Below are 14292 nucleotides of genomic sequence, written 5' to 3'. Positions count from 1 at the left end.
TGTTGGTGAAATGGAATACTGTACGGCAGCGGTCCCCAACCTTTCTGGCACTAGGGACCCGTTTCCTGGAAGACCATTTTTTCATGGACTGGGGGTGGGGGATGGTTTGGGATGATTCAAGTGCATCACATTTATTGTGCACTTTATTTCTATTATTATTACGTTGTAAGATATAATGAAATAATTATACAACTCAGCATAATGTAGAATCAGTGGAGCCCTGCACTTGTTTTCCTGCAACTAGACGGTTCCATCTGGGGATGATGGGAAACACTGATGGATCATCAGGCATTAGATTCTCATAGGGAGCATGCAGCCTAGATCCCTCATATGCTCAGTTCACAATAGGGTTCACATAGCTATGAGTATCTAGTGCCGGCGCTGATCGGACAGGAGGCGGAGCTCAAGCAGTAATGCGAGTGATGGGGAGCGGCTGTCAATACAGATGAAGCTTCACTTGCTCACCCGCCTGCTGCTCCCCTCCTGCCGTGTGACGCAGTTTCCTAACAGGCTGTGCACCTGTGCTGGGGTTTGGGGACCTCTGCTGTACAGCAATTAAAAAAGAAGTAACAGTTCTATGTTTAGGAATGGATAAATCACAAGAACACGAAGTTGCAGGAGGACATAAACGGTTCGTGGCACACACGCATGTGTATATATCCTGTATATGGTTTAGAAATATGCAAAAAATGCTAAGCCTTCTTTATAGATCAATGGATATGTAGAAACATAACAAAGAAAACCTGGAATTGTATTAAAAAAATACAAACAAACAAAAAACCTTTTCCCAAACTAGGAGGAGGCTGAGAGACCAAAGAATGACTGAGACACGTCCAGCTTGGCAAGTAGATGAGTTTATTTGGACCTACATACAAGGCCTCCTGGGCAGTAGCAGGACAGCTTTAGAGACCTGCATTGCCTCCCATTTTCCCACTCTTTTTTTTTTTTTTTTGAGACGGAGTCTTGCTCTGTCTCCAGGCTGGAGTGCAGTGGCGTGATCTTGGCTCGCTGCAACCTCCGCCTCCTGGATTCAAGTGATTCTCCTGCCTCAGCCTTCTGAGTTGCTGGGACTACAGGCTCATGCCACCACGCCCAGCTAATTTTTGTATTTTTAGTAGAGATGGGGTTTCACCATGTTGGCCAGGCTGGTCTCGATCTCTTGACCTCGTGAACCACCCACCTTGACCTCCCAGAGTGCTGGGATTACAGGCATGAGCCGTGCCCGGCCACACTCTTGAGCTGCCTTTAAGCTAATTTTCTGGCTCTTTGCCCACTGTGTGAGTGATGGACTGTTTTTCTTGGTAGTTTCTTAGAAACCCTCCGGGACGCTTGGTTCTGAGGGACACCTGCTCCTCTGCTGGGCACTGTGGCCTTGGCTCATGGCCTGGCCTTCAGGGTTCAGGCAGCAGACACACACTCTTTAGTAACTTGGCTGGGGACCCATCACACTACAGAAAAGCATGAAAACAAACACAGCAATGACACGTGTCAAGTTCTGGAGAGAGAGGGAAAGGAGTCAAATCACAGGCATAGATGTATAAGAGGCTTCAACTGTATCTGTAATATTTCGTTTCTGAGAAAAAAATATCTGAAGCAAATTTGGCAAAAGGTTAAGATTTGCTAAAGCTGAACATTGAGCAGATGGGTGTTTGTTGTTATTCTCTTTACTCTTCTGCATATTTCTTTTTTTTTTTTTTTTTTTTTTTTGAGACAGAGTCTCTCTCAGTCACCCAGGCTGGAGTTCAGTGGCGCGATCTCGGCTCACTGCAAGCTCCGCCTCCCGGGTTCACCCCGTTCTCCTGCCTCAGCCTCCCTAGTAGCTGGGAGTACAGGCGCCCGCCACCACGCCCGGCTAATTTTTTTGTACTTTTAGTAGAGACGGGGTTTCACCGTGTTAGCCAGGATGGTCTCGATCTCCTGAGCTCGTGATCCGCCCACCTCGGCCTCCCAAAGTGCTGGGATTACAGGCGTGAGCACCGCGCCTGGTCTCTTCTGCATATTTCAAAGATGTCAGAATTGAAAAATAATAGTCACTGACTTAGCATGACAGAGAAACCTTCAAGCATAGATTTGCAAAGGGAGATACCTGTGGGAACCAAGCCACTAGAGTCACAGAATCTCAAGGAGGCAGCAAAACGGATTTAAAATTGGGCAGAATGTTGTGTGACAAAGCACGATCCACTGGGTGTTGTGTCTGTACATACACGGGACCTGGAAGGACACGGTCAACTGCAAACTGCTCGTGATTGTGGACGGCCTTGTTCTCTGCTTCTTGTGTTTTTCGGTTTCTTATAATGCACATATTAACTAAGAGTAATTAAATTATCCTAATTTCTATCACATTAATTTATATTAATTTAATTAATAAATTAATTAAAAATAAAGATTACTTTTAAAACCAGAAAAACATGGTTGGAAGAGAAAAACCAACCTTAAAATGTTTTTTGACATTTGGGACATAAACATTGCCTGAAATGAAAACATAAATAAATAAATGGAATATTGGGAAAGCTTGGTAAAAATTAAATTGCTATACATTCTACAAATTGCTAAAAGGAATAAAGTTTTGGCTAGGCGTGGTGGCTCACACCTGTAATCCTAGCACTTTGGGAGGCCGAGGCAGGGGGATCATGAGGTCAGGAGTTCGAGACCAGCCTGACCAACATGGTGAAACCTCGTCTCTCCTAAAAATAGAAAAATTAGCCAGGCTTGATGGTGCACGCCTATAATCCCAGCTACTCAGGAGGCTGAGGCACAAAAATCTTTTGAACCTGGGAGGCGGAGGTTAGAGTGAGCTGAGATCGTGCCACTGCACTCCAGCCTGGGTGACAGAGCGAGACTCTGTCTCAAAAAAAAAAGAAAAAAAAAAGTAATAAAGTTTTAGCGAGCAACATTGGTAAATTGCTATTAATAAATTTGTGCAGCCAGGCGCAGTGGCTCACACCTGTAATCCCAGCACTTTGGGAGGCCAAGGTGGGTAGATCACCTATGGCTAGATCACCAGCCTGGCTAACATGGTGAAACCAGTCTCTACTAAAAATACAAAAATTAGCCGGGCGTGATGGTGTGCACCTGTAGTCCCAGCTACTTGGGAGGCTGAGGCAAGATAATCGCTTGAACTTGGGAGGTGGAGGTTCCAGTGAGCCAAGATCACACCATTGCACTCCAGCCTGGGCGACAGAGCGAGACTCCATCTCCAAATAAATAAATAAATAAATATAAATTTGTGTTAACAATTTTATTTGGCAAATTGATACATGCTTAAATACCATTTATCTTTTAAGGTTCTGCTCAGATGACACCTGCTCCACAAAGTTCCTTGGACCCTCCCTCACCCGCAAATGCCCTCATGTGGCGTTCCTCCTGCACTTCCTTCAGCTGTTCTCATTTTCTATATGTTACAACTATTTAGAAAGGTCTCGGCTTCCTCACTGGGCCTAGATCCTTGAGGGCAGAGTTTTACTTGTCTATGCCGGCCTGTCAGTGTGGTGCTCATGGTGGGTTCTTAGTATCTGAAAAAGGGAAAGGAGGAGGAAGCTGGAACCCTAACTGGGGAAAGGATCAAATAACTAAAAATTCAGCTTCTTCTGGCCTGCAAAGTGTCAGGGATCTATAACTGTGAGTGCTCTGAGATTAGGCCACAGACTTTTGCTGTCTCAACATTTTCTCCTCTTGGGACATTTCCTTTGAGTTGATGTTCTGCCAGTTTCTACATTCAGGCTCAGCCTATGGTGCCAACCTGTCAGTGTGGTGCCAGCGAGGTGCTCTCAGAGGGAGCAAGGCAAGAAGAGGTGACGAGAGCCCCAGACACAGTCTCACACTGAGGCATGGGCAGCAGTAAATGAGGAGAGGCTGGGTGAGGACCAGAGGACCAGGAGTCCAGGCCAGGATGCGACACAGAAAAGGCAAGGGTTAGATGGGCAAGGTGTGACATCAGAGCCCGGCAAGAGGTCTCTGGCTGGGCTTTAGGGTCGCTACATTTGGCAAATACAAATAAAGAATGCCCTCACCTCACACCCTTTAGGATGGCTATTTGGGAAAACGAAAACATCAGATAGACGCGTTGGTGAGGACGTGGAGAAATGGAATCCTCGTGCACGGCTGGTGGGAGTGTAAAATGTGCAGCCAGCCTGGAAAACAGTCTGGCAGTTCCTCGAAAAATAAAACAGAGAATGGCTGTATGATTCAGCATCCCACTGCTGAGAATAGACCCACAAGAACCGAAAGCAGAGCCTCAAAGAGACCTTTGCACACCCGTGTTCACAGCAGCGTTCCTCACAGCAGCTACAGCGTGGAAGCAACCCAGAGTCCATCAACGAATGAATGGATAAGCAAAACGTGGCTCGATGGAACAGTCTTCAGTCTTACAGAGGAAAAAAATTCTGACACATCCTACAACATATGAATGAACCTTGAGGATATTACACTAAGTGAAATAAGCCAGTCACAAAAGGGCAAATACTGTGTAATTCCACTTATCTGCAGTGTTTAGAGGAGTCAAAATCACAGATACACAAAGTAGCATGGTGGTTGCCGGGGACTGGGGAGTTGGGGGAATGTAGAGTTATTGTTTAGTAGACATAAGGTTTCAATTTTACAAGATAAAAGAGCTCGAGAGGCCGGGCATGGTGGCTTGCGCCTGTATTCCCAGCCTTTGGGAGGCCGAGGCGAGAGGATCACTTGAGTCACGGAGCAGGAGACCAGCCTGGGCAACACAGCAAGACCCCATCTCTACTAAACAAATAAGCAAACAAACAAAGTTCTGGAGATGGATGGTGCTGATGGTTGCACACATCATGAATGTATTTAGTACCACTAACTGTACACTTGAAATTGGTTAAGATGGTAAACATTTTACATTATGTGTACAGTACCACAGTTTGAAAATTGGGAAAAAATGCAGTGCCCACAGTGAAATTTGAATTTTAAACACGAATAATTCTTTAGTATCATTATATTTCATGCAACATTGGGTATGTATGTATACTAAAAAACTATTCATTGATCTGAAATTTCATCAGGCATCCTGTATTATGTCTGGCAACCCGGACACAGGTCAGGGTTCTATAGTGAATGGTGATCATGATTCATACACAGGCTGAGGGAATTGTTCACAGAAGCGAGGAGAGGAGCAGAGAGGAGCTGGCTGTGAAGAGAGAGAATATATGTTCTTCCCATTTTCCTCTCCAGTCCTGGTAAATAAAACAACAGTCAAAATGTATCTACTGACTCTCCAGGCAAGTCAGCCACCCCAGCACTACTCATGTTTATCTCTTCAAGAGCACTTACTTGTTATTGGATGTTTATCTGCGACACGTCTGCCTCCCCCTTGAGGAGAAAGTAACCAAAGTTTTGAGTCAGAGATCTAGGCTGAAACAAGACTCTGAAACTTAAGGTGTGTGACTTTAGCAAGTTATTTATCGTCTGTGAGCCTCAGTGTTCCACGAATGTGAATACCATCAAGATATTCTAATAAATAAATCAAGTAATGTAGATAAAACACATAGCAGGTGCCCAGAAATATTAAGCACAACATCTCTGAAGACCTGGAGTGCAGGGACCCAGTCCTAACAGTACCCGCGCTGCAGAGTCCTAACAGTACCCGCGCTGCAGAGTCCTAATGAGAGGTGACAGCGTGCTGGCAGTCCTCAGAGCCCTCGCTTGCTCTCGGCCCGCCTCTGCCTGGGCTTCCACTTTGGCGGCACTTGAGGAGCCCTTCAGCCCCCCACTGCACTGTGGGAGCCCCTTTCTGGGCTGGCCAAGACCGGAGCCCGCTCCCTCAGCTTGCAGGGAGGTGTGGAGGGAGAGGCGCGAGCGGGAACCGGGGCTGCGTGCGGCGCTTGCGGGCCAGCTGGAATTCCGGGTAGGCGTGGGCTTGGCGGGCCCCGCACTCGGAGCAGCTGGCGGGCCCTGCTGGCCCCGGGCAATGAGGGGCTTAGCACCCGGGCCAGCGGCTGCGGAGGGTGTACTGGGTCCCCCAGCAGTGCCAGCCCACCAGCGATGTGCTCGATTTCTCACCGGGCCTTAGCTGCCTTCCCGCTCGGCAGGGCTCGGGACCCGCAGCCCGCCCTGCCTGAGCTTCCCACCCCCTCCGTGGGCTCCTGTGCGGCCCGGGCCTCCCCGACGAGCGCCACCCCCTGCTCCACCATGCCCAGTCCCATCGACCACCCAAGGGCTGAGGAGTGCGGGCGCACGCGCAGGACTGGCAGGCAGCTCCACCTGCAGCCCCAGTGCGGGATCCACTGGGCGAAGCCAGCTGGGCTCCTGAGTCTGGTGGGGACGTGGAGAACCTTTATGTCTAGCTCAGGGATTGTAAACACACCAATCCACACTCTGTATCTAGCTCAAGGTTTGTAAACACACCAATCAGCACCCTGTGTCTAGCTCAGGGTTTGTGAGTGCACCAATCGACACTCTGTATCTAGCTGCTCTGGTGGGGCCTTGGAGAACCTGTGTGTGGAAACTCCGTATCTAACTAATCTGATGGGGACGTGGAGAACCTTTGTATCTAGCTCAGGGATTGTAAACGCACCAATCAGCGCCCTGTCAAAACAGGCCTCTAGGCTCTACCAATCAACAGGATGTGGGTGGGGCCAGATAAGAGAATAAAAGCAGGCTGCCCGAGCCAGCAGCGGCAAGCCGTTCCGGTCCCCTTCCATTGTGTGGAAGCTCTGTTCTTTGGCTTTTTGCAATAAATCTTGCTGCTGCTCACTGGGTCCACGCTGCTTTTTATGAGCTGTAACACTCACCACAAAAGTCTGCAGCTTCACTCCTGAAGCCAGTGAGACCACGAGCCCAGCGGGAGGAACAAGCAACTCCAGATGCGCCGCTTTAAGAGCTGTAACACTCACCGCGAAAGTCTGCAGCCCACCAGAAAGAAAAAACTCCGAACACATCCGAACATCAGAAGGAACAAACTCCAGACGCGCGCCCTTAAGAGCTGTAACACTCACCGCGAGGGTCCGCGGCTTCAGTCTTGAAGTCAGTGAGACCAAGAACCCACCAATTCCAGACACACTAACAGTACCCGCGCTGCATATTCCATGGAGGAGGGGCTGAGTCAAAGGAATGTGAGTGCTATATTGATTGCCTAGACTAGGGCTCTACATGTTCCATTCTTGCTGCTAGTCATGATTATGATGGGAAAAGAGGTAAGAAGACCTCAATCATAAATTGTGCACCAGCCACTTCTGATAAGGTCTTGGAAGGCAGATGCATAGAAGACAAGGCTGTGCCACTTTCCTTCACTATAGCATGCGTTTCTTTATGGGCAGGGAAGCTGCAGGCAACGGTGTTTTTTTGTTTTGTTTTGTTTTTGTTTTTGTTTTTTGAGACTGAGTCTCACTGTCGGCCGGGCTGGAGTGCAGTGGTGCGATCTTGGCTCACTGCAACCTCCGCCTCCCAGCTTCAAGCGATTCTCCTTCCTCAGCCTCCTGAGTAGCTGGGATTACAGGTGCCCACCACCATGCCCGGCTAATTTTTGTATTTTTAGTAGAGACAGGGTTTTGCCATCTTGGCCAGGCTGGTTTCGAACTCCTGACCTCAGGTAGTCCAACTGTCTCAGCCTCCCAAAGTGTTGGGATTACAGGCATGAGCCACCACGCCCGGCCAGTGAATAGTTTAACTCATCGTGGGGGTTTCTAAGTGAGGGACTTGGGTGTGATTTCATGACAACTGGTCATGAAATCAGGGGACGCCTATGTTTTTGTGCAGGGAGAGGAGGCCTGCGGGTGCGTAGGTCCTCTTAAGCCCCTCTGGGTTCCATCTTCCTACAAGAGATCCTTTTCAACCAGGCGCAGTGGCTCACGCCTGTAATCCCAGCATTTCGGGAAGCCAAGGCGTGTGGATCACCTGAGGTTGGGAGTTTGAGACCAGCCTGACCAACATGGAGAAAGCCTGTTTCTACTAAAAATACAAAATTAGCTGGGCATGGTGGCGGGCATCTGTAATCCCAGCTACTTGGGAGGCTGAGGCAGGAGAATCGCTTGAACCTGGGAGGCAGAGGTTGCAGTGAGCCGAGATTGCGCCATCGCACTCCAGCCCGGGCAACAACAGCGAAACTCCATCTCAAAAAACAAACAAAAAACCAAGAGAGATCCCTTTCTATCTGTCTCAAAACCCACAGCTCTAAGTGTCACTCTGTGAGAAGCAGAGCATTTCACTTGGGTGTCACGGCAGAGGATTTGAATTCCGTTGCCATCCTTGCCCTAAAATACTTCATTTCACCTCATCACCAAACTCCCTTCCAGGCTGGGACCCTCAGTTCATTTTAGTATTCCAAAAGTAACCAAAATTAAGCTCTGGGTGTGTAGGAAAGGAGTCCAGTGAAAGATATGAACATAATTCCCACAAGAGAGGGAGAAACTTATTACCCTCATTTTTCATGCTTAAAATAAGCAGGCAGTGAGCTGCTGGGTGTGAATGATTTCGTGTCAGCTAAACAAAAAACAGATCACCAAGCTGGTTTTCCTCTGAGTTTCAAACCTCACCATTCTTTAGTCTCTCCCTTAAAACAGAGAAGAGAAGGACGAGGTAAGAAGTACAGTTTCTTCAAGACCCAAAAGACCTGAGCTTTCTCTTCTTGCCCTTGATTTAGCAAACCAGCTCCTGCTCAGACACAGCCCCTGACAGCGCAGGTAGTGTCTGTTGCTTCTCAGGGCAGAGGCTGGGCAAGGCACCACCCTGAGTCTTACACCGAGACGCTGTGCTCCCCCTCTGGGTGGCTGTCTTGCTGTGAGTCTCCAGTACTTGATGGGGTTACCTTGCTCTCCCCTCTGTATCTTTTTTCCTCTTCACTCCTTTCAGCCTCCTTTGTCGTTTTTCTTCTGGGGAGTCCTCAAATGTGCTATTCCTCATATGGCCAAACTTTGGGGGTGGGAGGAAGCATGTTTATTAGTGTCTTCCTGCAGTACCCATTCTCTCTTCTTTATGACTTCCCTCCCCCTCATCCCCCAGCCACAGAGTCGTAGGGCTGAGACCCCAGTGGCATCCTAGGTACCGTGTGAGCCCACTCCCCATCCCATGGCCATAGCTGATTGGACCAGTAGTAGGAATTGGAGTCTATCTGAGACCCCGAGGTGATCTCTTGGATGGAGGGGAGAAGTGTGGGTGGCCATTTTTCACAACGTGGACTATGTAGAAGAGGAAGTTTGGGGAAAGAATGAAGAAATGTCTCGGGAATAAGGAAGAGGTGGTATTCCCAGGCTCCTGATGGCTTTCCATTGCTTTGTCCAACTTCCTCATGAAAAACAAGGCATTCCTGCTATTGATCTCTGGGAGCCAGCCCTGTATCTCTAAAATAAACTTATTTTGCTTGTACTACCTCAGGTTCTGTTGCTTTGAATATTTTTAAATGTTTCCTAAATTTTAAAACATTTCCTATTTTAAAATGTTTCCTATTCTTAATTTTAGAACCAGATGAATGGAATGTTTTATATTTCACCACAATTTTTTTTTTTTTAGTGACTAAAATTGCTTTTCTTCCATGGTTGGCTCCTAATGATACTTACCTATTATAGAACAGTTCAGTAATAATAATGAGAAATACAGTGAATACTTACTACACTCCTGGCACTGTTCTAAGTGGCTCAATGTGCGTTTCATGTAATGCTCACATCACCTTTTAAAGTAAGTAGCACGATTCCCCCCGCCCCCCATTTTACAGATAAGGGAACTGAGGCTTGGAGGGATCAAATGTCCCACCCAGGGTCACAGAACTAGTAAGTGGTAGAACGTGGGTTTGAATTCATGACCCCAGAATCCATGCCCCTAACCACTACACTAAGTACTTTACAAACACTGGGTTACGAATGCAACCTGACAAAGACCTTCCAACAAACCTTAACACCTTAAAACTGTTCCTGGCCTTTCCCATGGTTCCGGCGAACAACCAAACACAAAATCAAAGTTGCCTCCAGAAAGAAATAGAATTGGTAGAGAGAAAAATTAAAAGGTGTGTTTCCTAGGGTTGCCACAGCAAAGTACCACAAAGTTGGTGGCTTCAACGACAAAAATGTATCGTCCCTTGCCGGGCGCAGTGGCTCCCGCCTGTAATCCCAGCACTTTGGGAGGCCGAGGCAGGGGGATCACCTAAGGTCAGGAGTTCAAGACGAGCCTGACCAATATGGTGAAACCGCGTCTCTACTAAAAATACAAAAATTAGCCGGGCATGGTGGTGGGCGCCTGTAACCCCCGCTACTCAGGAGGCTGGGACAGGAGAATTGCTTGAACCCGGGAGGCGGAGCTTGCAGTGAGCCAAGATTGCACTACTGCACTCCAGCCTGGGCGACAGAGCGAGACTCCGTCTCAAAAAAAAAAAAAGAAAAAAGTATCGTCCCACAGTCCTGGAGGCTAGAAGTCTGAGATGAAGGTGTCAGCAGGGCTGGTTTCCTCTGAGGGTGGTGCGGAAGAATCTGCTTCGCGCCGCTGCCCGGTTTCTGTTGGTTTGCTGGCAGTTTTTGGCACTTGGCATCTGCTGGATGGCCCTGATCGCTGCCTTCATCTTCACATGGGATCCTCCCTGTGTGCATGTCTGCGTCTAAATCTCTTTTTCATAAGGATACCAGTTATCTTAAATTAGGGACCCAGTCTTTTCTGGTATGACCTCATCTTAACTAGTAACATCTGAGATGACCCCATTTACAAATAAGGTCACATTCTGCGGTACTGGAGGATTTCAACATATAAATTTTCAAGGGGATGCAACTCAGCCCATGACATTAGGTTTTATTGTTTCTTTCCTGTAGCAATTTTCAATCATTATATCTCCTTTTATCAGAGATAAGAAGTTTGATTTTAAGATGTGACAAACCACAGGTGCAGCTGCTCAGCTTTGGTTAGGCACCCAAATGTCATTGCCACTCCGATATAGGAAGGACCAAAGCACTAATTCCTGAAAGAATCCTGATAAGGACACCTCTTTTTTTTTTTTTTTTTTTTTTTCCTGAGACGGAGTCTCACTGTGTGGCCCAGGCTGGAGTGCAGTGGCACCATCTTGACTCACTGCAACCTCTGCCTCCTGGGTTCAAGCGATTCTCCTGCCTCAGCCTCCCGAGTAGCTGGGATTACAGGCACCCACCACCACACCCAGCTAATTTTTGTATTATTAGTAGAGCTGGGGTTTCACCATGTTCGCCAGCCTGATCTTGAACTCCTGATCTCATAATCTGTCCGCCTTGGCCTCCCAAAGTGCTGGGATGGCAGGCGTGAGCCACCGCACCCGGGCTAGAACCTCTTTTAAATGACAGCCTCACTTTAGCTCACTAAGGGCCATAGAAAGACCCACAGAAGAGACAGTCTTGCCTTAGGTGCTCACTCTGGCACTGCCATCACCTTGCTCTTGGTCTCTAGAGCTAGAGCTCTTTTTTCTCATACAATTTTCCTGGTTATAAACCAGAGATTTTTGCCTGGCACGGTGGCTCACGTCTGTAATCCCTGCACTTTGGGAGGCCCAGGCGGGTGGATCACAAGGTCAGGAGTTCGAGACCAGCCTGACCAACATGGTGAAACCCCGTCTCTACTAAAAATACAAAATTTAGCTGGGCATGGTGGCACTTGCCTGTAATCCCAGCTACTCAAGAGGCTGAGGCAGGAGAGTCGCTTGCAGCCAGGAGGCAAAGGTTCCAGTGAGCCAAGATCGCGCCACTGTATTCCAGCCTAGGCAACAGAGTGAGACTCCGTCTCAAAAAATAAAATAAATAAAATAAAATAAAATAATCAAATCGTAACATAAAATAAACCAGAGATTTTTGCCTCCACTTGAGGCTGCTCAAATGTCATTCCTGAATGGTGGTCTCCTAGTTCAGGGGAGAAGTACCTGGAGACTTAAAAACAAACAAAAGGCTGGGTGCGTTGGCTCACACCTGTAATCCCAGCACTTTGGGAGGCCGAGGGGGGTGGATCACGAGATGAGGAGATTGAGACCATCCTGGTTAACACGGTGAAACCCCGTCTCTATTAAAAATGCAAAAAATTAGCTGGGCGTGGTGGCGGGCGCCTGTAGTCCCAGCTACTTGGGAGGCTGAGGCAGGAGAATGGCGTGAACTCGGGAGGCGGAGCTTGCAGTGAGCCGAGATCGGGCCACTGCACTCCAGCCTGGGAGAGAGTGAGACTCTGTCTCAAAAAAAACCAACAACAAAAACAAACAAACAAAACTCCACTCTACTACTCCATGGAATTTAATTTGCTAGGGCATCTTATTTATTTATTTGAGAAGGAGTTTTGCTCTTGTTGCCCAGGCTGGAGTGCAATGGCTGGATCTCAGCTCACTGCAACCTCCCCCTCCCGAGTTCAAATGATTCTCCTGCCTCAGTCTCCCGAGTAGCTGGGATAACAGGCACGCGCCACCACACCCGGCTAATTTTTGTATTTTTAGTAGAGACGGGGTTTCTCCATGCTGGTCAGGCTGGTCTCGAACTCCCGACCTCAGGTGATCCGCCTGCCTCGGCCTCCCAAAGTGCTGGGATTACAGGCGTGAGCCACCGCGCCCGGCTGCATCTTATCTTTTAAAAGCTTCCCACATATAGGCTATCTTGATTGTGATGGATATATACATACATCAAAGCTTATCAAATTGTGCACTGGTAAATAGGTATAGCTTGTTTGATGTCAGTTATTATCTCAATAAAGCTAATTTAAAGAAATAAAAAACTCCCCAGGTGATTCTAGTGGGCATCCCAAAATGAGAAGCATTGAGCTAGGTCAGCCTCAGCAACAGCCCCAGGAAGGAAGACATCTGCTCCGGAATCGCGTCGTGACCAGCAGCGCCCCCAGGACTTAGACCGCATGAGTCCTGTGCTGTTGATCCAGTGGTCTTGCCTCAAGACCAAAATGATAGAACATTGCTGAGCTTCTCCCAAAATTAAAAAGAGGCACCTAAAAATTTTGAACTGAGGCTGGGCGCGGTGGCTCACGCCTGTAATCCCAGCACTTTGGGAGGCCGAGGCGGGCAGATCACGAGGTCAAGAGATCAAGACCATCCTGGCTAACACGGTGAAACTCCATCTCTCCTAAAAATACAAAAATTAGCCGGGCGTGGTGGCGGGCGCCTGTAATCCCAGCTACTCGGGAGGCTGAGGCAGGAGAATGGCTGGAACCCGGGAGGCGGAGGTTGCAGTGAGCCGAGATCACACCACCGCACTCCAGCCTGGGCGACAGAGCGAGACTCTGTCTCCAAGAAAAAAAAAAAAAATTGAACTGCTAGGATTGTTATTCAGAGGTGTGGGGTATGTAAGGAAAAGAAAAATCCCGAAACAACAAAACACCCCCGCAGCCTTTAGTTGGCAGAGTCACGGTTTAGAAGGCAGTTGGTTGTCCTTTGGGGGTATTGCAGGCCCGCCTCCCTCGCTCTACCCGCTGGGCTGTGGAGCCCGTACGGCCAGTGAGGAACGCGGCACACCAGCAGCTCTCTCATCCAGCTGGCTGCCGATCTCCTTAACTCCAGGCTCACTAGTTCCAACTGCCTTTTCTGTATTTCCACCTCCGATTTAACATGTTCAAAACCGCACTCGTTACCCTCACCCCCCAATCTTTTTTTTTGAGACAGAGTCTCGCTCTGTCACCCAGGCTGGAGTGCAATGGCGCGATCTCGGCTCACTGCAAGCTCCGCCTCCTGGGTTCCCGCCATTCTCCTGCCTCAGCCTCCCGAGTAGCTGGGATTACAGGCACCTGCCACCACAACCGACTAATTTTTGTATTTTTAGTAGAGGCGGGGTTTCACCACGTTGGCCAGGCTGGTCTCGAACTCCTGGCCTCAGGTGATCTGCCCACCTCAGCCTCCCAAAGTGCTGGGATGACAGATGTGAGCCACTGCGCTCGGCCCCTCACCTCCCAATCTATTCCTCCTTTTCAATACCCTTTCTTAATAAGCAGTACCTTATAAATGTCTGCACCAAAAAGCTTCTCACTCTTGACATACAAATGGTGTCCACATGTGTTCCTGCATTCTCTTAAATACATCCCTCCTCCATCTTTAGTCACCTTAGTTTAGGTCCTCATCATTTTCTGCCTAGACCTCCTGACTCCCACCTTTCAGATATTGGTTTTTGTAGCTAATCATGCCCCTGCTGAAAACTTTTGAATGGCTTCCCCCATGAAAAAATAGACAAAACCCAAACTATTTGGTATGGCAATTATAATCCAGACGCAATTTCCCTGTTCCATGCCCTCCCCCACCACTTGTCCAGCATGGTTCCAGACATAGCGGACCTATCTGTGCCTCCGTATCATAGCACGTCCTATCCCACTTGCCTGGAACAGTGGATTTATCCTCATTAGCTCCCACCTACTATCTTC

This window comes from Homo sapiens, chromosome 3 (genome assembly GCF_000001405.40).
Source record: "Homo sapiens chromosome 3, GRCh38.p14 Primary Assembly".
NCBI classification, from domain to species: Eukaryota; Metazoa; Chordata; class Mammalia; order Primates; family Hominidae; genus Homo; species Homo sapiens.
The sequence above is the reverse complement of the archived record's forward strand: the minus strand, read 5'-3'. Positions refer to the sequence as shown.